The sequence below is a fragment of the Homo sapiens genome, chromosome 5, assembly GCF_000001405.40.
Source record: "Homo sapiens chromosome 5, GRCh38.p14 Primary Assembly".
Lineage (NCBI taxonomy): Eukaryota > Metazoa > Chordata > Mammalia > Primates > Hominidae > Homo > Homo sapiens.
Genome location: NC_000005.10, coordinates 141,729,170 through 141,756,876, shown reverse-complemented (window position 1 = coordinate 141,756,876; position 27,707 = coordinate 141,729,170). Strand labels below are relative to the sequence as shown.

At 50.4% G+C, this 27,707-nt stretch overlaps 3 annotated features.

The window, feature by feature from the left end:
• Positions 13,181 to 13,475: a silencer, noted in NCBI's record as "tiled region #9103; HepG2 Repressive non-DNase unmatched - State 10:DNaseD, and K562 Repressive non-DNase unmatched - State 20:ReprD". NCBI's record gives its function as "represses a minimal TATA promoter and a strong SV40 promoter by Sharpr-MPRA in HepG2 and K562 cells {active_cell/tissue: HepG2 | K562}" and the evidence as "EXISTENCE:reporter gene assay evidence [ECO:0000049][PMID:27701403]".
• Positions 21,701 to 21,995: a silencer, noted in NCBI's record as "tiled region #9303; HepG2 Repressive non-DNase unmatched - State 10:DNaseD, and K562 Repressive non-DNase unmatched - State 10:DNaseD". NCBI's record gives its function as "represses a minimal TATA promoter and a strong SV40 promoter by Sharpr-MPRA in HepG2 and K562 cells {active_cell/tissue: HepG2 | K562}" and the evidence as "EXISTENCE:reporter gene assay evidence [ECO:0000049][PMID:27701403]".
• Positions 21,738 to 21,938: a silencer, noted in NCBI's record as "peak5502 fragment used in MPRA reporter construct". NCBI's record gives its function as "represses an SCP1 promoter by STARR-seq MPRAs in K562 erythroleukemia cells {active_cell/tissue: K562}" and the evidence as "EXISTENCE:reporter gene assay evidence [ECO:0000049][PMID:32103011]".

The following is a 27,707-nucleotide window of genomic DNA, read 5'->3' as shown; positions in this document are numbered from 1 at the left end:
ACAGGTATAGAAGGTAGAGTGGATAGGATGGAGGAGTTCGCAAAGCAGGTGAGGGGTCAAAGGGCAGGGTGAGGATAAAGTAGGAGGGGAGGGAAGTGTCAGGTGTGTGGGGTGTGTGAAGGAGAGGTGGAGGGAGAGGCGGGAGGGGTATGCAGGGTGACAGGCAGCCAGAGTGAGTATGCGGTGGGGGTGCTAGGTGTGGAGGGGATGTAAGAGTGCACAGAGTGGCTAGAGAGAAAGTGAGAAGGGTAGAAAAAGGTGTGGAGGAATGAGCAGGTCCCTGAGGGCCTGGAGGACCTGAGCAGAGGAGGAGGTGAAGGAGGGGGCTGGGTGGCATGGAGAGGGGTGGATAGGCCTGAGAGGCTTTGACAGTTTGGCTTTTGTCCCTGTCCACGTACCCAGCTGCCGCAGCCCCCACCAAACCTGGCCTTACTGCCAGGCTCATTTCAGGGATGGGTGGAAATTTCCATTTCAGCAAAATCCATTTGTAAAGCCCTGGAGCTTTGAGCCTCATTCTGCTCTGCCCGCCTGGCTCTGCCCACATGGCTCTGGCCTGCCCAGCTAGCCCCACTCTCCACCCCAGACCTCCCTCTGCTCTCCCTCCCCAGCAGGCAGAGCTTGGGCTCAGGGCCTGGGCTCCCTCAGCCCCACTCCAACCCTAGCACTGCAGCCTACAGAGGACCATCCTCCCCACCCCCCACCCCAGCCAAGCATTTTGACATTCTAGGGTGCCCCACAGATCTGGCAGAAGTGGTAGATTGGTCAGTGCCTTGCCTCAGTTAGGGGACCATCAGCATGCAGTCTACCCCCACTGCGCCCTGTCCCAGTACAGACGGTGGTTTTGATGCTACAGCACAGCAAAATGGGAAGAGCTCTTCAAGATAATCCTATTTAGGCCCTTTTGTTTTACAGATAGGGAAATGGAGGCCCAGAGAGGAAAAGCTACTTACTAGTCCAGGGTGCTACACAACTGGCTGGTGTGCAGAGCCAGAATGACCATATTGCCTAGAGGAGGAGTTGAGGAAAAACAGAGCCATGCAAACTTCAAACAGGCTCTGTTGAAGAGGTGTGCCGTCAACCCGTGATTTTACTTCTCTGTACCTTGGTTTGTTCTTCTACCAAGTGGAGCTCATGACCATTCTCCCAGGCTGGTGTGATGATGATGAGCTGGCCACAGCCAGATGCAGCAAAGTAGGGGTGGAACACAAAAGCCCTTAGGGTTCTTGAGTTCATGGGGAAGGCAGGAGCAATATCAGTTCTAGATTCATCCTGCCATTAGTGTCCAGACCCCTTTGCCTTGTCTGTCCCACAGCTTCCCGAGAACTATAGAAATTTCAAGGAACAGCAGGGATGACATGGCCAGGGATTGAGGCACTGGGTGGGAAGGTGAACTGGTCTCCCAGGGTAGAAAATGAAGGGACAGTGTGGGCCATCTCACTCAGGCCTCTGGGCAAGGAAGGCTTTTCTTCTCCAGCTCTAAAGGAATGGCCACTCTGGCCTCGGGGTGGAAACATGGGTTCCCTGGGCCAAAGTCAGAGCCCTGCATTAAGGGGAAAGGCTGAACTCTCCTAGAGCAGAGGCAAGGTCTATCTTGCTCACTTCTGTTTCCCAGCACAGCACCTGGCACGGAGGGTACACCCCTCAGGCCTTGCCACAGCTAGAGGCAGCTCAGGACAGATCTTAGTAGCTGGTACCAGGAAAGCACCCAGGGCTACCTGACCTAGACTGCTCTCTGACCAAGCCCCATGTCTTATGCACACACTGTGGCACATGCCGTGGCACATGCTGAAGCCAGCCTTAGCTCTAGTACTTACCCCAGCACATCCTCCAGCTGCTGCCCTCCTTCCCCAGCCCCCACAGGAATCCCAGGTCCCATCTGCTCCACTTCTCTGCATTTCCCCTGAACATCTGGACTGCTCCTGAAATCTGGCTCCTTGTTCCATCCAGAGGGAGCTGCTAGAGGGAAGAGGAGACTCCTGGGTCCCATTAGTTCAGAGCTGGGGCCAGGGAAGGCTCTGCCTGACCCCCACTCCAAGCCTGCAGCTGCCAGAATGAACTAGCCTAACAGAACTCTGGTTCCTGTCTCCTATTCTCCCTACCCTTGAGCACCCCCTCACCCGTAGGGTTGTAACACCCAACATACCCCACACAGCCTCCCCAACATCTGCTCGAGGGTCACATGGTTCTCTGTGCCAGGATCTGTGCATGTGTTTAGCTTTGCACTCTACACAGAAAGGTTCCCAGAGCTTCCTGGCATGGGCTGTGCTCCAGAACCACACACTCTAAGGACAGGCTGCTCCTCTCCTTCCCCACCCTGTGGTGGTGGTGGTGGTTGAGGCTGGGGCTGGGGGTATGGAGGAACCAAGGCCTTTGGTCCCTGGCAGCAAAAATTCTGAGTCCTACTTCAGAGACATGCATTCTAGGAGGACCAGGCTGGGAATGACCTTGGCCCATAACCTTCTCTTTTGCCACCCCCCCGCCCTACTTCTACTTCACCTGCTCCCTTACTCTCCACAGGGTTCTTGGTTCTTGTTTTATTTTGGGAGAGGACCGCTCCCTTATAGGATGCTCTCCATGGTCCTGAACCAGAGTCCCGGGGCAGAATTACTTCTCAACCTTGAACAAGAGGTGGCTCCTGGCACACATCTCGGAGGCATTCTGACCCGAGTAAGAAAGGAGATGATAGTGAAAGGGAAGGCATTGGAGAGAGACAGAGAGTGTATGCAAGACACACAGGGATAAAGAGTCCAACGCGAGACTGCCAGGAGGAAGAAAAAGTGATTTTGTTGTTCCTTTTAAGAAAGGTAATCTTCCCAAGTACTTGGTTTCCTCATTCTATGCAAATGCCAGCTCCTCGCTCCCGTTTGCCCCTGAAACTCTCTAGACGTCCCACTTTCCATTTCCTTCTCCACGCCGTGTCTGGCCTCTCCCTGATTTGGGGTCTGTGTGCTTGGGGACCACCCAAAGACCCGGACCTAAAGGCTCAGCTGTTGCTTCTTCCTCCTCGAAGGTCAAGAGAAAAGACTCCCCTCCAGATTTCTCTCGTCCCACGCCCCTCTAAGAGCAGGTCTGGGTCGCAAAGGGCCTGCTCAGTCCCCCTAAGAGCGGCGCCCGCCCCAGCCCGGTCCCCTTCCAGTCGCGGGATGCCTGCGGCACTGAAGGGCGGGAGAGAGGAGGGCCTTTACTGGCCGAGCCAGCCCGGGAGCCCCCGGGGCCGCACTGGAAGGAAGGAGCTGGGGAAACAGAAGAGTGGCAAGCGGTTTCCCGCTCGGTTGTGGCTGTTATTATTTATTTATTCATGTATTTTTTATTAAGGAGGAGATGTCGGCCTAATGAGCGGGGAGCCCGGCTGGCTCGGAGGGGTGGAGCTGGGGGTAATGGGGCGCTATCCACACAGGCAGGGCCTCTCTCCAGCCGCGGGGACCCCCTCGGAAGCCTCTCCTTGGCGCCCGTCTCTCTCCCTCCGCACCGCGCGTCTGCAGTGCCTAGGGCCCCCAGAACACACACACACACACGTGGCCTCTCCCGCTTCCCAACACCACCCCCCGCCCCGGGGAGGGACGTTCCTCTCCCGTCCTCACCCCCAACGGGTGCTGCCGACGCCGGAGCCAGAGCTGGATCCACGGAAGGCGCCTCTGTTTCTCCATGGAGAGCCCCTTTCCAGCTCCCCGCTCTGCCATCCCCTCTCCCGACCGTCCCCTCCAAGGCTCCTTCTCTGACTACAGACCCAGCTCCCAGCCCTTGACAGAGAATGAAATAGCCCAGCCCTTGTCCCCTAGTCAGGGGCAACCTCTCCTTTATCAAGGACCAGACTTAGCTTCAGCTTTCAGCCAAGAGCAAGCTTCCGATCGACCGAGGCACACCTCAAGTCTTAAATCAGTTCTCAACAGGGGGCTAGCCTCGGACCTAGACTGAATCCTCAGGCCCTGGAAGTGGACAGACTGCAGCTTGGTCCCAATTTTGAGTCTTTATCTGGGAAGCTACACTCAGACTAAGAACCCCCTCCAATGGTAGGGCTAGCCTTAATCCCAGTCCATATTTGTGGAATAGCCTCAGACTCAACCTCCAGCCCCTAGCCCAGTCCCAGAATTTAGGGTAGTCAAGAAGGTGGAAGCTTTTGGAAGCCAATGGCAAAAATAGTTGGGTGAGTATGGTCTAGGGAGGGGGAAAAACTGTTTGTTCCCTTTGGCTCAGTTCACTACAGCTTTACTTCACTGGCAGAGGGTCACCTCCTCTTGCTTATTGCAAGAGGTCTTGCTTATTGCAGGGACCTAGCTGAGGGCACACTCTAGTTTCATGGGAGGGGGTGGAGGGGGCTCTGGGGACCTACACCTATGCGAGCACGAGGCCACAATTTCCAACATGCTTCCCTTGATGTCCAACAAATGCTGGACCAATGGAAATAATTTCTTCAGAAAACATCAGTAGAGCCCTGCTCTGTGCCAGAACCTGGGGACAGAGAGAACATCTCTAATAAGCCTGCTCTGTCTAATGGTGGCTGGGGGTGGAACAGCATAAACATCTTAGCAGCACCTAGCTATTGAGCATGTGCTTATGCCAGGCCTTGTTCTTCACGGCATTATCTCACTGCATCATTACAGCCCTACAAGGTACACAGTTATTATTCCCATTTTATTTGTTAAATAGCATTTTATTATTACCGAAGTAATAAATATGAATTGTGCAAAATTTTAAAAGTACAGAAAGCAAAAATATAAAAATAAAAACATCATATTCCTACCACCATTAACACCTTAATGCATGTCCCTCCAGATCTTTTTCTTACATACAAGTATCTTTTTACCAAAATGTGATTGAATTATACATACTGCTTTATGATCTGTTTTTTAACCAACAATCTCTACCTTTTCTATTTCAGTAAATTTTCATCCCTTTTAATGCCCAGAACCTATAAAAATTTCCCCAAATGACCCCCAAGAAGTCCTTTACAGTTGGTCCGAATCCAATACAGGGATAGCATCTGATTGTTATGTGTATTAAATCGCTTAAAATGGTGCATTCCCCTGGTTTTTTTGGTCATTAATGCATTGAAATATTCAGATTAGTTTCCCCACAGAATATTCTTCCTTCCAACTGCCTGGTTACTTCCTTGTGCTGTTGTTGAGGTTGTGAAACTATCCCAGTGTTTTCTATAAACAGGGAGTTAGATCTAAAGGCTAGAACAATTCAAGTTCAACATTCTTGGCTAGAACACATGTGAGGCGATGTCATATACTTCACTTTGCACCGTATCAGAAGACGTAGAACATCAAATTCATCCACCATGAGAAATGCTCAGATAGACACCTGCTGATGATAGTTATGATTTCCTCCCCATCTTCCTTCTAGTAAATTATGTTTGTGGGTTACTCTGACACCACGCAAATGTCCGTTTCCCCATCAGCCATTCACCTAATGGTTATTAATACCAATACATAATCCTTGCCTGATTACTCTCATGTTTAAAGATGAAAAAACTGAGACTCAGACTGGGGAACATAGTCGTTCAAGCTCACACAATCAGCAAATTAGGACTCAGACTAGAAATCAAGTTTTCTTCCTCTTTCCCACCATACTGAGTTGGGAGCACGTTAGGTGTCTGGCGCACATTTAAATGTGTAAAAACCTTCGGGGGAGGGGGATTTCCTCTCCTTATGGTCTAGGCTGACCAGAGGTGGAAAAGCTTCTTGGTGAACCCCAATCTGCCTCCTGGTTGAGAGCTGATGCCACTAATATGGTTATCAGTGAAGCAACTCGACTCAGCAACTGCTATGTGGCAGCCCATGCTAAGTGCTTTATGAACATTAGCTTCTCGAATTCTCCCAAGAAACATGCAAGGTACGCATTATTACTAGGCTCTGACCCTTTTACAGATGAGAAAAATGAGGCTCAGAGAGGTTAAGTACTTGCCTAGGGCTGCACAGCTCATGATCAATGGAGCCAGGATTAGTTCTGACTCCAAAACTCAGGCACTTGACTGTCTCCTTGACCTGGCCTCTCAAGCTGGCCTCTCTCCCATTCCCAAGGCTGAAGAGTGAAGCTAATGAACGAGGCTTGGGGCCTCCTCCTTATGTGGCTGGTTCTGACATTGCCCACAGCTCTGTGACTATCTGTCAGCATCAGCAAGAGCATCACAGAGTTCTCTGGGTCCCCTCTGCTGGCCTCTACTCACCATATGGCTCTTGCCAGAATATGACTTGGTTCCTCCAGCCTCTGCATCCCATTAATCCTTCCAAGCTTTGCTCCCCCTGACCCCAGCCCTGGCCCTAATGCCTCCATCAGAGCATCTCACACTTGTTTATGAAACACTTTCCTTTGCTCACATTTATGTAGTTGGAATCCCAAGACTACCCTTGAAGGAGGCAGGGAAATGGGCTCCATTTGATAGATGCAGACACTGAGGCTTGGGGTGAGGAACGCTCTGGGCCCAGACCTGCTACGCTCCTGTCCCAGTCAGCATTTTCAAAATGGGCTCTAGCCCCTTAGCAAAGTCAGGACTAACCTCAGAGTTGGTGCCTTGCTGCTGTTTGGAATGTGAGGCTTGTCCTTGGGTGGGGCCTGTGGCAGTGGATTTGGGGTCAGCCCTGTATCCTCTAGCCCTGCCAGGGAGCAAGTCTCTGAAATGTCACCAGCACTGAGGGCATCCTGAGAAATGTCAGCAAATGCTGATTTGGTCCCTTGGCAGAGGGTGGAGCCAGCCTTTTTCTGCAGAGCCTCCCTCCACCATCTCCCTGTTCCCAGCTGCAGAAGAAAGAGAAGCCAAAGAACCCTTAGAGTTTGCCTAATCCAACCCCACCATCTTAGAGATGGGAGAACTGAGACCCCAGAACTCACAGAGCAAGCCAGCATCTATTTTCTTCTCTGGAAACATCAAGAATTAGTCATGGACCTCCACCCATCCACCCTATTCCCCATTCCCCACCACGGTCTATCTGGAGCCCCTTGAGTCAAGACCCCGGTTCCCAGAAGTCACAGGAGCAGAAAGAAGAAGGGACTAAGGAGCCAGCTCATGGCTGTGGGCCCAGCATTAGGGGCTGCAGGAAGGAGAACAGCTTGATCCAGCCACCATACCAGCCTCTGTCCTCCTCACCACAATACTAGACTGACACCTGGACCAGCTCTTCCTGAACCTCCAGAATGGAGAAAATAAAGTTCCTACCAAATGGTGGAGGCAGTGACACAGTAGCTTCCATGTGCTCTGGGAACTGACTGCCTTCTCCAGGCCCTGTGTGGCTAGTGCTTCTCCCATTTCACACCTCTGTTTGTGAGAGCCCTTTGCTCCATCATCCTCTAGGCCCTATCAAGGGAAGGCTACTTCTTCCCCCAGCCCAGTGAATCCTACCAAGACTCCATCCTTTCATTTTCACTGCTATGGAGTACAAAGGACCCCATCTCTCCATCTCAGGCAATCATCCAAAACCTTGAGAAGTCTGGACCTCATGTTTTTGGCTACAGAGCCTGCGTTCTCCATTCCTCTGGTCCTCCCACAGTTGTCTATACAGTTGTAGTATACAGTGATTGTTCAGAGTCCTCTCTGTGCTGTGTGTGTCTCTGTGCTGAGAAAAGGAGTTCAGTGAGGGGAGTTGGTTCCATCCTTATCTCCCATGCCTGCCATATCATAGGTGCACAGTAAATATTTATTGAGTAAATAAATATGGAGGTTCAAGATCAGGCCAAGCCTGTCCTTAATAGTCTGTACTTTTACCTCAAAGCACTTTGAGGTTGATATTCCCCATAGACTGTAAGCTGCTCCCTGAGGATAGGGGCCATGTTTTCTGGTTCATGTCTGCATCCTTAGTGATTAATCCAGCACCTAGCCCACAGTAGATGTCTATTAAATCTTCATGGAAGGGAATATGTGAGTGAATGAATGATACATACATTCATAAATGAATGAGCAACCTAGGTAGACAAGGACTTTTATCCTATTATTATAATGAGGAAATGAGATTTAGGAAAGAATGGAAATCTGGCTCTCACTTCCCACATTTCAAGTGTTAGAGGCACGATTTTTATGCAGGGAAAGCCGGCCCAGGAGGTTTGGAGCTACTGACCAAGGAGTAGGCGATAAAGGTGGGTAAAAGGCTGGATGGGCAAACCTCAGGGATTAGGTCCAAGCAGATGGAGCCTCTGCCCTGGAGGAAGAACGTTCCTAGAATTATCCTGCCTCCAGATAGAGAAGCAAGGAAGCCTAATTGGTTTCTTCAGCTCCTGGAGTTGGATCCATAAATCATGGCTCCATTGAAAGCACAGGTACCTCCTCTCTAGGGACACTGGTATGACTTGATGTGAGTTCCCAGTGACATGAAGAGGCTTGCAGCCTCCACGTGCAGGTCCCCATGCCACCCTGCCCAGAATAGAAGGCACCGCTCGATAAGGTCTGCCCATCAGCTGCAATGTTTGAGGTATGCAGGTACCCAAGGGAGGAGCAGGGGAGGGAAGGGGCCCAGGAACAGCAGCCGAACACAGGGAGGGAGAGTGAGTGATGAAGACCCAAATAGCCTTCCTTCAGTGAACTCCATCCCATTCACCATTTATTGAGTACCTACCTTGTGTCAGATACTGTGCTGGGCACTGGAGACCCAAAGACAGCTCAGATGCAGGAGAGAACGGGGGGAGAGGCAGCTACAGAGACAATAATCACAACATGGGTGATAAGTGCTTGAGAGGGATGTACAAAGTGCTCTGGGAGCTCACAGCACCAGGCCATTAATTCTTCCTCTGGTGGAGAGGATTTTGGAAGACTTCGCTGAGGAGGAGGTGTTTCAGCTGTGTTTGGTCGGCTCCGAGGTTGGCAGAGGGAGGGAAGGGCACTTCAGGCAGAGGTGAGCATGTGCAAAGGTGGGGGTTATGAAAGAGGAACTAGGGGATTTCTGTGTGGCTGGAGCTGAGGGGAAGGCATGAGGAGACACTAGATGGGGAGCCTCAGGCCAGTATTTGAAAGGCTATGAATGGTCCTACTAGAGAATTTGGATTGGATCCAGTCGTGGGCAAAGGGGAGCCATTGAAGAATTTTAAGCAGGGGTGTGTTTTAGAAAGCCTTATCCAGGGGAGATGGAACAAACCAGGATGGTGGCCAAGGGGCAGAGAAAAGGGAATGGATTCCAGGAACATTTAGGGGGGGAAAATGGACCAGACTTTCCCTGGCTCTGTCATTCTTTCGGACTTTTCTTGCCTTTCTAGGCAGGCTCCGAGTTCCCCTGGGGATGAAGGCTGCTCCCTCCTTTCTCTGTGTCTGGTGCAGGCTTCTGCATACACAGAACTGAACCTACAGGGTCTGACTGACTGACAAGAACAGAGCAGCAGAGCTGACTCCCAGTGGTCAAGGAGTCCTGCTCTGCGGATGACCTGGTGACTTCTCTCCGACTCAGTCCACAAGCCCCAGAGCAGGATGAGGCCCGGGAGGTCCTCCCCTCCCTCCCTTCTTTTCTCTCCCTCTCCTCCCTCCCCCTCCTCCCCTGAGCCCAAGCTTTCTTGCTGGGAGGCTCTCAGAGCCAGCAGAGCTGTGGATGAAATGGTTCGGTGGCTCCAGCCCAGCTGCTGCCATGGCAACCAGGCTGCCTGCCAGACCCAGTCAGGAGCAGGCCCAGCCTTCCTGCTCTAGAACTACGATTCCCAGAATGCAAAGCACCTGAGGCTGTGAGAGGAACCCACCTCCTAGATGGTATCCAGCCAGGGCCTTCCAGCTTGGAAGATGCATAGGGGCATCCCAAAGGGAACACAGTACAGAACATGGGCACCTGTGTGTGCAGAGAGCAGGGGATACTTCTGGAGGAGGCCTGAGAACCCCTCCTGATGTTGGCCCACTGGACATACCAGAAGGAGGCCAATGGCTTCAGGAAGGGATAAAGGCTGGGGATGGGTACTAGTCCTGCTTTTGCCACTAATCTGTGGTGCTGCTTGAAAACTTTCTCTCAAAACTCTACAATGCTCAGTCTCTAACACCACCTTCATAGTCCAAGCCTAGGTGGTTGCAACATGCCACTAATTGGTCTCTTTGCCTCCTTTAGACCCCCTCCCTTCCTTATTCGTGCTGAAGCCTAAGTGACCTTTTCAAAATGCAATTCTGATCATATCACTACCTCCAATGCTCAGCCCCCTGCTGTTTAAACTATTCAGTGTTTAAACCTTTCGCTCTTAGATGAAGAAGCAAATTCCCTCTGTCAGCTGACAAGGCTCTGCATGGCCTGGTCTCTGTCTAGTTTCCAGCCTCCTTACTCACTCCACACACTTCAGCCCTTCTAGACTTTCATTTCCTTGCAGAAGCCATGCTACCTCCTGCCACAGGGCCTTTGCACAAACTGCTCCCGCTCTCTCTCCAGAACACTTTTTCCTCCACTGTTGCTCTACACAAGCTTCTCTTTCTCACAAAAAATGTCTTCTTCTAAGGAAGCCTCCTCTAACCTTCCTGACTTAACCAAATCCTCCTTTTATATATTAGTGTTGGCACCATGAGCCTCTCCTTTATAGCACTCTCCCAGTTGCACTTTTACATTTATCTGTACAGGCAACTATGCACCTCCCCACTAGATCATAGCCTCTGTGAGAGGAGAGAGAGTGCCTTTTTGGCTATGACTGCAACCTCAGGATCTAGCACCATATGTGACACATAGCAGATGCTCAAGAGCCATTTGTTGAAATAAATTAATCTGTTTAAGTCTCATTCTTCCCACCTGAGTGCCCCCCGTGTGTCATGTACTGCAAGGGGGTGGGGCAGGGATACAGTACTGGACAAGACACACAAGCATGGTCCTTCCTAGTATGGTGCTCACAGTCCAGTGGGAGACAGACATTGAATATATAATGACCAGAGTGCCAAGTGGTGCAAATGGTGAAAGATATAGAGCCACGGTGGCACAGAGCCCTGGGATCTGTACAGGTCCACCAAGGAAGAGAAGCAGAAGTCACCAGGCAAAAGGGATGGAATAATGTCAAAGAATGTTGCAGGCAGAGGGAATGGCATAAGCGAGGATACTGCTGAGGCAGAGAGGGCTTGGATTGTTTGGGGCATGAAGTAAGGACAGAGTCACTGGAGCCTGGAGTGAGTGGGAGGTGGTGGTAGCTCCATCCACATTCTTTGATTTTACTGGCTGGAAGTGCAGATGAGTTGTCTTTTCAAACTGGTTGGATCTTGTCTTCTATACTCCTCCCCTATTCTCAGGCCCGGGATGAGGCCCAGCGTGGACATACCCAGGCTGTCCCACTCCTCAAGTATATGGCCTTCACCCCTGACCACCCACCACTGTATTCAGGTATCTGGTAGAGGCCCTGCCCATGTCCGGTCTGATGGGGCTGTGACATGTGTGTGTGTATTAGGGGGTGATATGCTGTGGTAGCAGCCAATCAATCCTGTAGCATACATTGCTGACAAGTCTGGGGGAGATCCCCTGAAAAGGGAGACTGGCCTGGGGCTTGGGGGTGGGTGTGCAGCTTGCCTGGGAAATGAGGCATGACTTACCAGCTGCAAAGACTTCAGTGGGTGGGGGCAGCAGAGGCCCCTGGGCACAGGGCAGGGAGGGCTCTTCTCCTCACATTTGCTGCTGTCCTCCTCACTCTCAAGGGTCCTGGGTAGGGTGGGAAAACTCTTTCCAGCAGGTTTAACCCTTCCTTTGAACTTGGCAGTTCCCCTACAAGTAGTCCGAATTGTGTGTGTGTGTGTGTGTGTGTGTGTGTGTGTGTGTGTGTGTGTAAAATGAAGTGGCACCTGGGCTGGAAATAATGGACTTTAGCTTTCTTATTTCACTGCAGGTATTCCAACCACTACCCCTCTAACACACACACACACACACACACACACACACACACACACACACACACTCACACACACCCTGAGGCCAGATCCCTGGTTTTGCTGAGGTTTCCCTGTGAGTAGGAGCCTCTAGTTTACCCATTTCTCAGGAGAGTGTTTTTCAAAGTGTGAGCTTCACTACATCAGAATCCTGTGAAATGCTTGTGAAAATGCAGGTTCCCAGAGTCCTCTGATGCATGTAGTTCACAGATTACATTTTAAGAAGCATTGTCCTAAAGGATACCTAATTCTGCCCAAAATAACTGCTGAAGCATTCTCCTCCCCAGAAGTGTCTCCCCATGGTGATCCAGCCCTGGACTCTGCATTCTCCCACTCACCTCTAGACCTCGACTAGGAAGGCAAGCCAGCCCTGCCCCTTCAGACCCCCTTCAAATCCCTGCCTTACCATGCATTCTATAAACATGGACCAAGAACTCATTATATGCTGGGTGCTGGGGTTCTGGGAAGAACCTGGCAGCCAGGATCTCTACTCTCATGGGTCTTATAATTTGGCAGTGAAGACAAATATTGTAAAAGCAAATAAATAAACAAGATAATTGTGGCAGGTGCTATGAGGAAGATAAAACGGTTACCTGATAGAGTATGCCTGGAAGGGACTGCTTCATTTGGGGGTTCAAGGAAGGAGGCCACCTTGGTGCCTGTGTTTTAAGGAAGGTTCTGGAAATAAAAGAAAAATCCCTCCTCTCTCTTTGCTACTGTTTTTATCTCTTTTCTTTCCTTTCTTTGGCTCAGCTTGGCTCTCTGTTTCTGTTTCAACTCCCTCTTTGTCTCATTTCTTCTCTCCTCCACTGCTTCCGTCCCTCCCTCTCCCATTACCTCCCTCTTCTTCCCATCCTACCTCCCTCTCTTCTGCTCCCTTCAGAGGAACTGAAGAAACTAGATCTCCTTGTCTCTCAGGCTAGATAGCAGTAATTGAACTGTGGGCTCGCTCAGCAGCTGGACCTGAGAGTAGGGCTAGAGGAGGGAGTGGGGATGTCAGAGGGGAGCTGGAGGAATGAGAGCAGGGAGGGGCCTGGGAGGGTGAGGGCACTCAGAGGGGCTGGAGGTGGCTACTGAGCCAGGTAATCTAATCAGGGGGTGAGTCATAAAGATCACTCACTCCCGTGCACAGGACCAGCCTAGGAAATCACATTAATTTAAAGAGGGTGTAAAATCCACGGAGAATTCCCCTCTCTCCACCACACACATGAAGATAAACTGTCTTCAACTTCCAATATGATCTTACAACAGCTTGTCAGTGACAAAACAGCCTCAAATCCTCCCATTTATCAAATGGCCAATCCTGTTAGCGGCTTAAAAGAGACATAATTACCTGCGGCCTTTTGTGTGATTCTTTATACTAACACCACTTCCTTCTTCCTGGCAGCATTCCAGAACGTGAGCTCAGAATTCATTCCTGGTGATGGAGGGGATCTTCAGAGATGTTAAAGTTGGGGGGCAAGAGGGGTTGAAGTCAGAAATTCCGCTTGGGCTGGGATGTGGGTTAGCACCATGGACAGGGCCAAGGGCTGAGGGAGCCTGGGAGCGGCCTTGTGTGCAATGGGTAAAGCAGCACCAAGTCCCACTCACGTTTGCAGGCACCGCGGGGCCAGCAGACACCTGCCGGCGGCCAGCAGGCATCCGGAGGGCTAGGGGCCAGCTGCCTTTACCGAAAAGGCAGTGTAGGCCTCTGCCCAGGGTGCATAAGCACTGACAGTGGGGACAGAAGATCGACGTGGCTTGGCCTGTAGATCAGTAACTTGGGTAGAGTTCTCTACTCTCAGGATGAGCGAGGAGTTTTTGTGACTTCAGAATCTGCCATGCTGCTACCAGGGAGAACATTAATGTTCCCAGCTAATATTTACTGAGTGCTTGCTATGGGCCAGGCCCTCTGCTCAGCACTTTATACACACGATCTTAATTAATATAAACTTCATGTAACTCTATTCTAACATCCATTTTATAGATGAGGAACCAGATGGTGAGTGAGGCTAAGTCACACGTGCAAGGTCACTCAGGGATGACTCAAACTTGTGGTCTATGAACTGGGCTGCCTCCAAGGCAGGCTCTGGCCATGAGGAGAGATCAGTTCTGTGATTCTGGGTTGGTCCCTCTCCCCCTCTGCCCTTATTCCTCAGGGAGCTCAGTTGGGGCAGGTCTCTGTTCTCACTACTTCGATGGATAAGAGAATCCCATGGCATAACTTTTCCTTCCATAAAGAATAAGACTTCCTAAAAACTGGCTTCTTTCTGGCAAGGTCTGCTCTGCAAGCTTGCATCTGCCTTCTCTCAGCCCCTCCCTCGCCCCGCTGGTCCAGGTCCCTGCTGGGCCTCATCCCTCCATTCCAGGAGGTCACCTCGCCCCTCCCCTCCCACTTCCCACTGCCAAGGCCCTACTTGCTTCCAGCCTTCCCCACATTCTTTTCCACTTTCCAAGAGGTCCAAAGGAATCATCTCTTGGGAGGAAACCGTCAGAGTCCATTTGGAAGCCAGATAAAGAGGCAGACAGCGAGACAGACAGCAAGAGACAGACAAGAGACAGACTGAAAATGAAATTTGAAGCACTGTTGAGTCAATAATTATGGTCAAGTCCTGTTGAGAGATGAGTCCAGGGTAAGCTAGCCAGGGGTATCTCACAGGATTTCTAGGACTCACTTTTCCTTAGCTGGCTCCTGCTGCCCTCAGCCCTCCATCCTTGCCCCTCTCCCTCCCTGGGCTGCCTCCCAGACCAGCATCCTTCCCCCCACCCCACCCAGCCTCAGGGCATTCATCACTGGGTTAGTGATTTATCAAAGGCTCTGACAGTTGCTGTTTGGCAAAATCAATCTGTGAAGAATGGGACCAACCCAAGGCTCCCTGTTCTCCTGAGCCCCCACCATCAATCTGCCCCAAAGGAACTCCATGGCTCTGACATCGGCACTGCCCCTGCCCCCACCCCAGACTTGAGTGGGTCTCTGGATCCCTACCTGTCCTTAGAGAGAAGGGAAAGAAGGAAGGAAAGACAGAGAGAGAGAGAGAGAGCATATGTGTTTTGGTGCCTTCTCTTAGATGTTTATTTTGTTGTTTTTAAGTGAGAAAGTCCCAGCTCTATTAAATGCAATCAATACTTGGCCCAAGAGAAGCTTCCCTTCTCTGAGACATTTGAAACCTGGTCAAATCATTTTGCCCCAATACAAAGTAATTTATCAATTTCAAAACCTTTCTAATCAGTGGAGGCTGTGGAGTCCCCATTCCTGCCTGCCATCTTCTGCTGCAGGACAGGCACACACACATGCAAATACACACATACACCCAGAGTTGTGCATAAACTCCTTTATTCTCTCTGCAAACCACCCTCCCTCCCTCCCACCTCCCAGAGACTGCAGAATGTCTTCCCCTCAGTTCAGCCTCCAGGCTAGGTGCCATCCTCAGCATCTTCAGCTCAGCCTGTGTGCTCCTAGCCCAGAGAGGCTGCAGGCCCTGCGGGCCCTGCAGGCCTATAGCACTCAGCCCTGGAGAGATGGAGGTAGACACGAGTCCAGCCACAGTGCACTAGTGAGTGTGCTCCTCTTCACCTGGTGTGTAAACAGTGGGGTGGAGCTGGGGACTCTGGTTCATAGGCAGGGTCCAGAACTGGGGCCAGGGGGCTGGAAGGAGCCCCAGGGCCACCAAAGTTGTCCCTTAGGACCTTGGCATAAATCTCCGAGGGGCAAACAAGATCTACTGGCTGGAGTGAGGTTTGCTGGCTGAACCTGGGGATGATGTCACAAAACTCTCCTGCCTCTAAAGCTGCTATTTTTGCCCTCGAGGACAGGCCGTGTCTAAAGGGAGACTGTGACAGCAGCAAAATCACCTTGCAACTCACCCTCCCACTCCCAGGAAGAGTGGCTTGAGCCTTTACCACTCCATTAGATTGGATTCTCGGCAGGATTCTCGGCAGGTCTTTTGTGGCCGCCAGCTGTGGTGGCCAGATAGGCCACTGACCTTTGAGGAGGGGCCACCCACTGAATGGCTAATTTAAATGCTCTCCTTACAATGGACTGTGCACATTTGGCCCTCAGAGAGTGACTGAGGGAAGTGACTCAGCAAGCCAGAGTCCTGGTTCACAAGCGAACTCAGGAGCATAGATGACATGTGAACTTTCCGAAACCTCTACCCATGGAACAGTCAATCCAAAGGCCTTACCTTGGCGTTCAAGGCCCCTCCATCTGGCCTAACCTAATATCTCCAGGAGACCTTTCATGCCTAGTGTTTGGAAGGCACTCTGTAAATATGTGTGCAATCAATGAATGGGTGGAAATCTCTGTGTAGCTCTGCCCCCCATTTCATGCCTTCCTTTCTCAAGTCTATCATAGCTCCTCTAGGGCTAGGAGCAAGGACTTTGCATATCTTTGGAGCCCTCATAGCTCTTTGCCCAGGGCTCTGCACAAAGTAATATTAAACTAGAGCGAGCACAGTGCCCTGTGGTTTACAAGGTATTTTAATATTAACTGTCTAATTTAATTCTACAATAATGCTGGGGATAGATATTACCCTGTTTTATACTGAGAGGACCCAAGGTTCAGAGAGGTGAAGTCACTTGTCCTCCATTACACAGAAAGTAAACAATAAACCTGGGATGCCAATGCAAATTCTCTGAATCCAGATCCTAAAATCTTTCTACCTCATTCATTTGTTCATTTATTACATAAATAGTGAGCTTCCCCTCCATGCCAAATGTTAAGGTTTCTTCATGGCAATCTGAAACTAGGTGACATTGTATCCTGTCTGTAGATTGGAAAATAGAGGTGAAGTGATTTGCCCAAGATGGCACAGTAAATAAATAGGGGATGGAAGTAGATTGAACCCAGATCTTTTTATTTCTTTTTCTTTTCTTTTATTTTTGAGAAGGAGTCTCGCTCTGTTGCCCAGGCTGGAGTGCAGTGGCGTGATCTCCGCTCACTGCAAGCTCCACCTCCCAGGTTCATGCCATACTCCTGCCTCAGCCTCCCCAGTAGCCGGGACTACAGGCGCCTGCCACCACGCCCGGCTAATTTTTTTGCATTTTTAGTAGAGACAGGGTTTCACCATGTTAGCCAGGATGGTCTCGATTTCCTGACCTCATGATCCGCCCGCCTCGGCCTCCCAAAGTGGTGGGATTACAGGTGTGAGCCACCATGCCCGGCCAAACCCAGATCTTTTATTTCAAATCCAGAGTCTCCTCTTACACCTCACAATTTTTTTTTTTTTTTTGAGACAGAGTTTCGTTCCTGTTGCCCAGGCTGGAGTGCAATGGTGCGATCTCAGCTCACTGCTACCTCCTTCTCCTGGGTTCAAGTGATTCTCCTGCCTCAGCCTCCCAAGTAGCTGGGATTATGGGCATGCACTACCACACCCGGCTAATTTGTATTTTTAGTACAGACAGGGTTTCACTATGTTGGTCAGGCTGGTCTCAAACTCCTGACCTCAGGTGATCCGCCCACCTCAGCCTCCCAAAGTGCTGGGATTACAGGTGTGAGCCACTGCACCCAGCCTCACAAAATGTTTTGTTGTAACATTCATGAAGAACCAATTATATGCCAAGCACTATCCCATTTAATCTTCACAACATCTGACATGGGTTCTATTATCACTTCCTTCTTAGAGATGGAGAAATCAAAACTTTGAACAAAGTCCAGTGCCTGAGCATGGTAGCTCACGCCTGAAATCCCAACAATTTGGGAGACCGAAGAGGGTGGATTGCTTGAGTCCAAGAGTTCAAAACCAGCCTGGGCAACATGGCAAGACCCCATCTCTACAAAAAACAAACAAACAAAAACAAAACAAAACAAAAAACACAAAAAATTAGCTGGGTATGGTGACATGTGCCTGTGGTCCTACCTATTCAGGAGGCTGAGCTGGGAAGATCACCTGAGCTAGAGAAGTCGAGGCTGCAGTGACCTGTGATTGTGCTGCTTACCACTCCACCCTGAGTGACAGAGTGAGACACTGTCTAAAAAAAAAAAAAAAGAAAAAAAAGAAAAGTCCAATATTTAGTAGCCAAGCTGAGAGTTGAACTGTGTTTCTCTGACTCCAGAATCTGAGCTCTATGCTATACCAGCTTACTGATGATAATAATAAACACTCATTACACATCCAAATAATCAATGCTTATTGATTGAATGACTGGTCACTGTAGATATTATGTTCATGGCACAACTAGGGAAAAAAGGTGTAAATTCTGGGCTTGCAAGCCAGCATCTGCCCCTTGGTCTGCATTATGTCTCACAAGCCCTCTGTACCTAATAATAACTGCCCCTACGTCAGCCGGGCTCGGTGGTTCATGCCTGTAATCCCTTGGCACTTTGGGAGGCCGAGGCGGGCAGATCACAAGGTCAAGAGATCGAGACCATCCTGGCCAACATGGTGAAACCCCGTCTCTACTAAAAATACAAAAATTTAGCTGGGCATGGTGGTGCACACTTGTAGTCCCAGCTACTCAGGAGGCTGAGGCAGTAGAATCGCTTGAACTAGGAGGTGGAGGTTGCAGTGAGCCGAGATCATACCACTGCACTCCAGCCTGGTGACACAGTGAGACTCCATCTCAAAACAAAACAAAACAACAACAACAACAAAACCTGCCCCTACTTCTTGAGCAGTCACTGCATGTCAAGTCCTGTGTTAGGCCCCTTACATGCGCTCACATAACCCGATGTAATCCTCATATATGACATAGGTATTATCTTCCCTATTTGAAGGATATAGAAACCAAAGCTCAGAGAGATTCAGTCACTTGTCCCCAGCCACACAGCGTATCAAAGAGATACTATTGTAAAGATGTTACCTCTTTCCTTGATCCTGCAAACCATCTTGGCACAGCTGCTCCAGTCCCAGAACCCCACCATGATTGCCAGTGGGGATTATGAACATCATTTCCCTGGGAGTTTGGGAAGAGAGTAAAATTGTGGCACCAAGGGGCACTGCAGCTGAAAGTGGTCCCCAGTGCTTAGAGTGACACACAGATCCAGGGCTAAACTCTGTTGGGAGACAAGTAGAAACCGGGAGTCAATGAGGAAGTAGCTGGGAGAGTAGCTGACTTCTGGGAATACAGTGCCCATTACTAGCTTTGATCCCCCAACCCCACCCCTCCAGAGCTAACTGCCCAAGCCTCCTCTTGGAGGAGACATCCCTCCTCTTAATGAATGGCTGCAGGGCCATTTGGCCCTGCCACTGCATCCCACATTGATGGATGAATGTGCCTCTGCAAATTAGAGAAATAACTAATGTACTACTCCTAGACCCTGCTGCCTACACGTGAAGCGGGCTCTTGTGGGTTAACTCAAGAACTGGAAGGAATCAGTCCCCTGAATAACAACCCAAAGCAGCAGTGGGGAGAGGCTCCCAGCCTGGTGGGGGTGGATTTACATTTCCTACAGGGTATTCTCAGTGTCACCTCTCATCACCATAATATTTACATCAAATGCAAAAGGCCTCCTCGGAATAGAGCCCTGAGGTTGTAAATGCCAAATCCAAGAATGTCAGTGAATGCAAAAGATCGGGTTCTTTGAGCAGCAGTCTCTCCCTGCCAGGCAATGCCTGCTGCAACCCTGGGGGCAGGCAGGGTGGGCTGCAGAGCCACCGTAAACCTCACCCAAAATAAAGAAAGGCTGGGAACATGTAGGGAGCCCAAAGGCATACATCTCTGGTCCAGGAACACCAGGCAGCCTTGTCCCTTTCACTTGGCTTCACTCGAAGTCTGAAGAAATGTGTTCACACGTGTTCGCTGTGCTGGAAGGGAGGCCAGGCCACCTCATGATCAGAATGACAGCTGGGCAGATGGACTCTCTCCGATGAACCCCAGAGCCTCAGTGGTCAGGCCTCAATGTGGTCTGCAGCCCAGCAGCTGACTGCTCTACCCAGCCTGTCCTCCTTCCTCTCACTGCCCCCTTGGGGTCTAGTGAAGCTTTTCTGAAGTCATTCATTCATCAAACATTTATTGAGCACTTATTAAGCACCAGGCCCTGGGAATACAATGGTGAACCAAAGAGACACAGTTTGTACCCTGAAGGAGCTCATGTTCTAGTGGGCAAAACAGATAATGAACAAGTGAACAGATAAATAACTTCGGATGCTGTTAAGTACTGTGAAGAAAATAAATTGGGAAGAAGGGGTAGAGAGGGAAGGAGGGAGGCTGCTATTGCCTGGACAGTCAGGGAAGGCCTTCTGAGAGGTGGAGTTTGACCTGAAGAATGAGAATAAGCCATTCTATAAAGATTTGGAGGAAGAGGTTTCCAAGCAGGCAGATCAGCAAGTGCAAGAGCTTTAAGAAGAGAATGAGCACATGTGCTAGAGGAACATAAAAAGGCCTGGTGCTGAGGCAGAGTGAGAAATGAGGTGGAGGAAAGGGACATGGTCTTGCTGGCCGTGGAAAGGAAGAGAATTTCTTGCTAAAAGCACTGGGAAGCCATGAGAGTGATTTGGGCAGAGGATGGCACTATCTGATTTACATTTTAATTTTGCTCAGATAATAAAAATCTTGGTCTAGTTCTGGCTTCACAAGTTACTCAATGTGAGATCTTGAGCCAGTTGCTGCATTTCATTAAACCTCAGGTTCTTTAAGAACTTCTTGGGGTGTCAGAAGAACATGAGTTAACTTGCATGTCTAGCTCAGAGCCCAGCATTGATAGCTGCACAATCAATGCACCACTTTGTCTCTCTTCCCTCTGCCTTTCTTCTCAGCCCCAGCCTCTCCCCCGCTGTCACACACTAAGTAAACCCCAGGGCCTAGCTGGGATCTCAGAGTGGAAGGAAGGGGTCTCATCCACAGGCATCAGGACCAGCTGAGGTAGGCCCAGTGTTCCCCTCACCAGTGCCCGACCATTTGAGGAACCACTCCTCAGGGTCGCAGGAGATCAGACCCTGCAGGTACACCAAGGGGCTGCATGCTGCCAGGGAAGTGGCCAGGATGTCTGGGCCAATTTGCATGCAGACACTATGCATTTGCCTGTATTTCCATGCCATTTGCTACACCAAAATGGCAGGCCCAGCATGCAGGGGAAAGGTTATCACTGCTACCTGAGGTCATGCTCCTTTACACTTACCTGCATTCCTTCCCTGTACTTTGCATGCAACCTTTGATCCCAGAAGTTGCCTGGGGGAGAACTAGGAGGAAAGGGAAGTTGGAGGGAGCCAATAAGGAAGGCAGTTTGGAGACTAAGCCAGGGCTGCGAGCAGACAGGGTGAACCTCACTTCTCCCAGGACCTGGGCCCACACTGCTGGCTCCAGAGTGAGTAAAAGGTGGCTGCCTGAGATAGAATCCTCCCAGCAGCTGCCTAGGTAGCCACATATCCACTTGACTGGCCTCAGGGGACAAGGCACTTCTCCTGCCTCCCTCCTAGCACTGGGACCCACAGAAAGGATCTGATGAGGTTAATTAATTGCTTGTAAAAATTTCTTTGGAAGGAAAAGAGCCATCATGTCTGGGAGCCAGAGGATGGCAGCAGCAAAGTCCTACCAGTTAGGACAGGGGTGCAAAGGGCAGGGCTGTGATGGTGCCAGGAAAGGAAGGGAGTGGGACAGCAGAAGGAAGGGACATGGGACAAGTCTCAGAGAATAGCCTCAGGGAAGCCTCTGATCCTGGAATGTTTGGGGAGCCCACAGCCGGAGAGAGTTTGGTTGGGCAAGGGTGGTAAGGCTCAGGCTGTCTCGTCCCAGTGCCTGAGAGAAGAGGAAAGAGAAACACAACCCGAGCTGGAGAATCTTCCTCCCCTTCCTCACCAGGATGCTCTTCCTCTTCCTTCCCACTGGATGAGTCTGAAGCCAAGGGCTCCCACATCAAGCCTCCCCCCCACCACCGCCCACCCTGACCTCTGGAAGATCCTCTCTTTTCATTCTTTTGGGGCTCAGTATCCCCTCACTGAGTCTCCCATGTGAGAGACCCTCCTTTTTCACATCCAGTCTCTCAAAAATTCCTGTAGCCCTGACAAGGCCCTCAACTATATCCTGAACTTTATATGTAGGTTCACTGTAACTCAGCATCTCCATCATAGCCAGAGGCATTGAAATAGGGCAGGCTGGAAACAGGCAGAGAAACTGGTGCTGCGGGAACCCAGGGGTGCTGACCAAGGTCCTGAACAGCCTCAATTCCTGTTACACAGGAACTTCACAATGCTCCTTGTGCAACCTATGGTCCCATCCCTGCCCACACACCCATCCTGGCTCCACCTCCAAGGCTTCATCCTCAATGTGAATCATATAAGGGATGGGGATGATCAGGGAGCTGATCTCGATGAGCTCCTTCAGGTTACAAGCCAGCCCTCCCTACAGAGCTGCAGCCTCTGCCCCTCCCTTTTTGTCCTTAACACTGGCTCTGTCTGTTCTGCCAGCCTTGTCAAGGACAGCCCCTGCAATCTGACCACACAGCAGCTGGTAGGGCCTGGGGCTGCACTTGACATCCTGATCCAACCATATTCTCAGAGAGAAAACAGGTTGGGAGTTCCGCATGCTTGCACACACCTGCACATATCATGCACACGCTCACACTCTCAATGTCAGCCTAGACTAGAGAAGTGGTTCTTAGATTTCTTGGGTCATGGATTATCTGGCTGTAATCTCCTCAGAAAAAAAGATGCATATACCCAACCCTTTGCACATCCCATCAAGAGGGCCTGGGATAGGGGTGTCCTTCCTGATTCCTGCCCTCCACTGTAAAACTTGCCCAGGGAGTGGGACTCTACCAAGAAGATGTTCTCTGGGAAGATGCACTGAGTTTGGGCACTCCCCAGGAGTAGTGCCAGTGGGGCTGGGCTGAGGTGCAAGAGGAATCAGAACAATCTCCAAGGCCACCTCCAGCTGTCAAACACAAGGACTCAGTGGTTCTGTACCACACATGCCTCTTGCTAACCAATGCAGTCAAGGCATCATCCACTCTGCTTTGATCTTCTTGAATCAAGACAGATGAGCTCTGAGCTCCTGGTGTCTACCTGAGTCATTGCACAGTCTGACCAAGTTTTTGCCATTTACAGTGAGCCCCAACCACATAGATGAGGAAACAGGGCTCTGCCTGGCTTCAAATCTTCCTGTGACCAACCATAGACCAACTTCTTTGGGTTCAATGCACACACCTGTAGACTGTGCACATGCATGCACTGACATGCAAGGCACACATGCTCACAGGTCAGGACACACACACAAATCATGCAAGAGCATACAGAAACACATGAATCATAAAAACAGGCTGAAACATGCAAAACTCCGAAAAGCACATGCATGTATAAACTTCACATACATATAATCACAGTCATGCAAACCATATGGACACACATACATGCTCTAAAATGTAACCCCCCATTCCCACCTCCTAGGGAATATTCCAACCCCACTAAACTTTTCATTTCTCTCTGCCATGGCCTCTAACTCCCCCTTGCCTTTGTGTAATCTGTTCCTTATGATGGAATCATTCTTCCCTTCTTTTCCTCACATGGTGGATTCTTAGTAAGCTTCTATATGAGGTACCCGGGGTTGCCATAAAAATTACTACAGACTGGGTGGCTTTAAAACAGCAGAAATTTATTCTCTCACACTTCTGGAGGCCAGAAGTCTGAAATCAAGGTGTCAGCAGGATTGGTTACTTCCTGGAGGCTCAGAGAGAAAATCTGTTCCATGTCTCTCTCTGAGTGCCAGAAAGGTTCTTACCCTTGTCTGAGTGCACTAGGAGGGGCAAAAGGCAGTCAATTGTGGTCTCCCGCCCTCAAGAGCTTCCGGTGGCTGCAATCCTTGGTTTGTAGACACATCACCCCAATCTTACCTCTGTGGTCACATAGCATTCTTCCTGTGTCTGTGTCTGTGTCCCCTCTTCTTAGAAGGACACCAGAGTCTTTCAATTAGGGTGCACACTAATCCAGTGTGACTTCATCTTAACTTGATGACATCTGCAAAGACCCTATTTCTATATAAGGTCACATTGACAGGTACTGGGAGTTAGGACTTGAATATATTTTGGAGGGAGTGGGACACAATTTAACCCTCAACAGACTAAGTCTTTGCCAACTTTTCCTTTCTCCATGAGTTCTTCCCTGATCTGTCTCCCTAGACTGGTTAAAGTCAGGGCCTCTGGCATGTGCTCCCCCATCATGGCACTTAGCTCACTTATTATTATCACTTCTTTAATGGTCTCTCTTCCCAGCTCTGAGGGGCTAGGGCTGTCCATTTCTTACTCACCATCATATCCCCAGCACCTGGCACAGTGCCCAGCTGTGACAGGATCTCAATAAATGCCTGTTGAATTAATTAAACCATTTATTCACATAGTGCCATACATGAACCATAATTCACATGCATGAGCACAGATACCTTACATATGTGTGCAAACATGTAAATCAAGGGTACACACAGACACATGAAATCTATATACAGTGTACACATACATGCCAGGCCCTGAATAGAGTTCAGCAGATTCCAATTAGCCAACCAGTCATGGATGAGTTCCAAGAAAGCCCAACCCTTCTCTAAGTGCACTGGGAGAGGCAAAAAGGGGTCACCTGTGGTCTCCTGCCCTCAAGGGACTGATGGACTAATTGGAAAAACAAGACTAATATATGATGAGAGATACCATAGAATTTAGTTATATTCTGTGAGCTGTGAAAGCTCAGAGGAAGGAGCTCTTATTGTAGGCTGGAGTAGTCCAGAGAGGCTCCCTGGGGGAGGTGAGAGTGGAGCTCAACCTTCCTATGTGGGCAGGATTTGGACAAACAGAGAAGAGAGAGGGGAGAAGGGGAGAGAAAAGGAGAGGCATGAAATCAACATGTACAGCAAAGGCCCAGGGGCCAGTTCATGGGACCAGTCTGATGGAAGGAACCCATGCTAGCAGCTGTGTAAGGAAGGGAGATCTAGATGACAGAGGGCCTCAGTGCCAGTTGGAGGTTCTCCAGCTTGTCACAACACCGGGTAGTCCAGGCTCTATCTGCTAGGTGTGGGGAGCTATTTCTCCAGAGCTTAGTGACCCCAGCTTCAAAGGGCTGGGGGGAAGGCAGGAACATGCTGACTGTGTATCTCAAGCTATGGGAGCATGAGGCAGGCCCTGGGAGGACTCCTCCTCCTCAGGAAGCCCTGAGTGGCAGCAGCACCTGCTAGAAAGGCAGAGTCAAGCCCAGTGACTCCCTGCCTGGGAGAGGTATGTGACGAGCTCGCAGAAAGCTTCAGGGACACCTTTGTTGGCAAAGCAGCTCCTGTCAGCCCCCAATGACAGGGTGGGTATGGGTGGCCATCAGGTGGAGAGAAAGCCTCTCAAAGCTCCTTCCCAGCCCCAGAGCCCTGACACTAGCAGGTCCCTTGAGACAGGCCTTAGAGCTCCTGGCCTCTCATGACTCTAGCTTTCTGGCCTCAGAGCCCCAGTGGTGACAACACCCAGCTAAAGCACTGAGTTGAGCTGCGGGAAGTGGCAAGAGTCCTGCCTATGAAGTATTTTGCAACATTTAAGAGCAGGAGCTCTGGACATTTGGATTCAAATCCCAGCTCCACGCCATTCTTGCTGTTTGTTCTTGGGCAAGTACTCAACCACTCTGAGCCTGCATTTCCTCATCTGTAAAATGGGGATAATTGTAGCTCTCTCCATCAAGGTTATGATGCTTGAGTGACTCTCACTAACTATTCAGGAAATGGGAGCTACGTATTTGTCTAAATGCTCCGATTCCATCTGCATTAATATTAGTGGCTGATGTGCAGTCAGAGCCCAGGACATCCGATCTCAACTCAAAAGGCAGACAGGAAAACCTCACAGGTTGTCCAGGCTGCAGAAAAACACCTTAGTATATAGGCATCTAAGCACCTTTCTCAGGTCCTGCCACAGAGCACAGCAATGTCCCCTGCCCCTCTCCCATGCCTCCCACAGCCCAGGGGACCCGAAGTAGACAACGTAGTGAAAGCTGATGAGGTATCTGTTTCATGGCCATAGCATGCCCTGCCCAACTGGGCCTGAGCCTCTTTCTGACTGGGGTGTATCCTGGGGCTTTAGCCTAAGCTCAGATAAGGCCAAGAAGTAGAGAGAAGAGACTTAGAAAGGAAGAGGGGGCAGCAGTACCTGCCTCTCATAAGAGAGGCTTTGGAGATGGTGAATTTCTTTTTTTCAATACAGAAAGAAATGATCATTTGTCATCTAGGTTTAGGAATCCTGCAGCAACAGAGAAGGGGCCTGGGAAGTCAATATAAGGCCTCTATCACCCTTCAGGCCTCTGTCTGACCTTGAAATTGTCCATGTCCTAGGGATTTGGGGCCAGGAAGTAGTGGTTGCCATGGAAACTTGGAGAAGCTCCCAAGAAGAGAGTGGAGACTGCAAGGAAGAGAAGCGGGGCCAGAGGTTAGAAAAGAGAAAATTTGGCTTGGGCCTGGGTCCTTCCTACTGTGGACACCACTTCCCCGTCCCTTCATGCATTGCTCAGAAAGGCCCCAGTAGCGAGTAGGGGAGAGGTAGGCAGTAAGTTCTGTGTTTGAAAGGTGAAGTGATGTTCTTGAATCTATAGTGATGGGGTTCTGGAAAACCCTGGGGCACCTGGGTGGGTCACTGAAGAAGATCTGGGCAACCAGGTGGAGCTGGAGCCAGGCAAAGGGTGATATTCACCAGCTCCTGGACATCTGTAGCTACTGGCTGTTCAGACAACATGGGAGACAGCCCTCCTGCAAGAAGCAGGAGCAAGGTGAGTGGTCCAGTCCAAGTAAGCACTGGAAATGTGAAAACGGATGATCACCCCTGCTGGAGGGCTGGCCGGCTAAGCAGGCTCAATGGAGAGGGAAGAACAAGAAGAAGCCCACAACTGGACAAAAAGGACAGATGGAGGGGACAACACGAAGGGAGCCAGAGGATAAGGGAGGAGAGTTAAGGGAACACGCAGACAAGAAAGATCTAGGGCAGGTGGACATGGGCCATTCCCCAGGCCACAGGGACTCAGGGATCTCTCACCCACATCCATCCAGAAGGCCAAAGACAGCCTCATAAAGGGGTGACAAGGCTTTCCTGGCAGTCCCCTTCCCAGCTCTTCCTAAGGACTCAGTCTGCTAATTTGATACCATTTATTCAAGCTTACCCATGGCCAGCCACAAATCCTAGATTACTGAGGAATCAGAGGCCAATTTTCTGGGCTTGCTTTAAGGTGAAATAAGGCACTCACAACTCTAGATAGCCAAGCTCCTAGAAGAACTCATCCTAGAGTGGTGCGCAAGCCCAGGAATGTCAGAGCCCACTCTTGAACTTCTCCTCCTCTCTCAACAACCAGTCCCCAATTTCCTAGCCAAGACACAGTGGGATATGCGGGGGTGGGGTGGAGGCAGTCCTAGATGTCTTTTTCTCTTCTTTCTCTTTGGCCCCAGAGAACCCTGTCCTCCAGGCTGCTGGGCCCCAGGGAGCCTCTGTGAAACCCCATTTCCTCTCCATTCAATGACAAAGTCCCTCCCCTCAGACTCTCTGACTTCTGTCCCACATCCTGAGCATTTCTAGGCCAGAACCTCCAGCCACCAGGATCACAGAAGCCTGTCGGCCCTGCAGCTCCAAGCAGGCAGAAACGCTAATTGGTGTTAATGGAGACCAGGCCAGAAACTCACAAAAGATCCCCTCTTCCTGACCAGAGCCAGGCCTGGGGCACAGCCAGGCTGCTGGCTTCTGCTATCTGCTAGTAGGAGGAGGGGATGACGTGGGGGAGAGTGCGCAAGAGTGGGGTGACCCTCTGGGGCTCCCCTCACCTGAGCCTCCTATACACTCAGCAAGAGGCTGGCTTTTCTTGCGGCCCCTTAAAACAACTCCTCAGGTAGACCAGAGCACCTTAAGTACTTTGCCCCCTCAAAGCCTGCCCTATATGCTTATTTTAATCTAATCTTGCTTGGAACAGAAAGCTCTGAAATCAGACTGCCTGTGTTGGTATCCCAGTAACACACCCTAATATGTGCGAACTTGGACCAAGAATGGTGCCTCTATTTTCTTGTCTGTGAAAAGGGA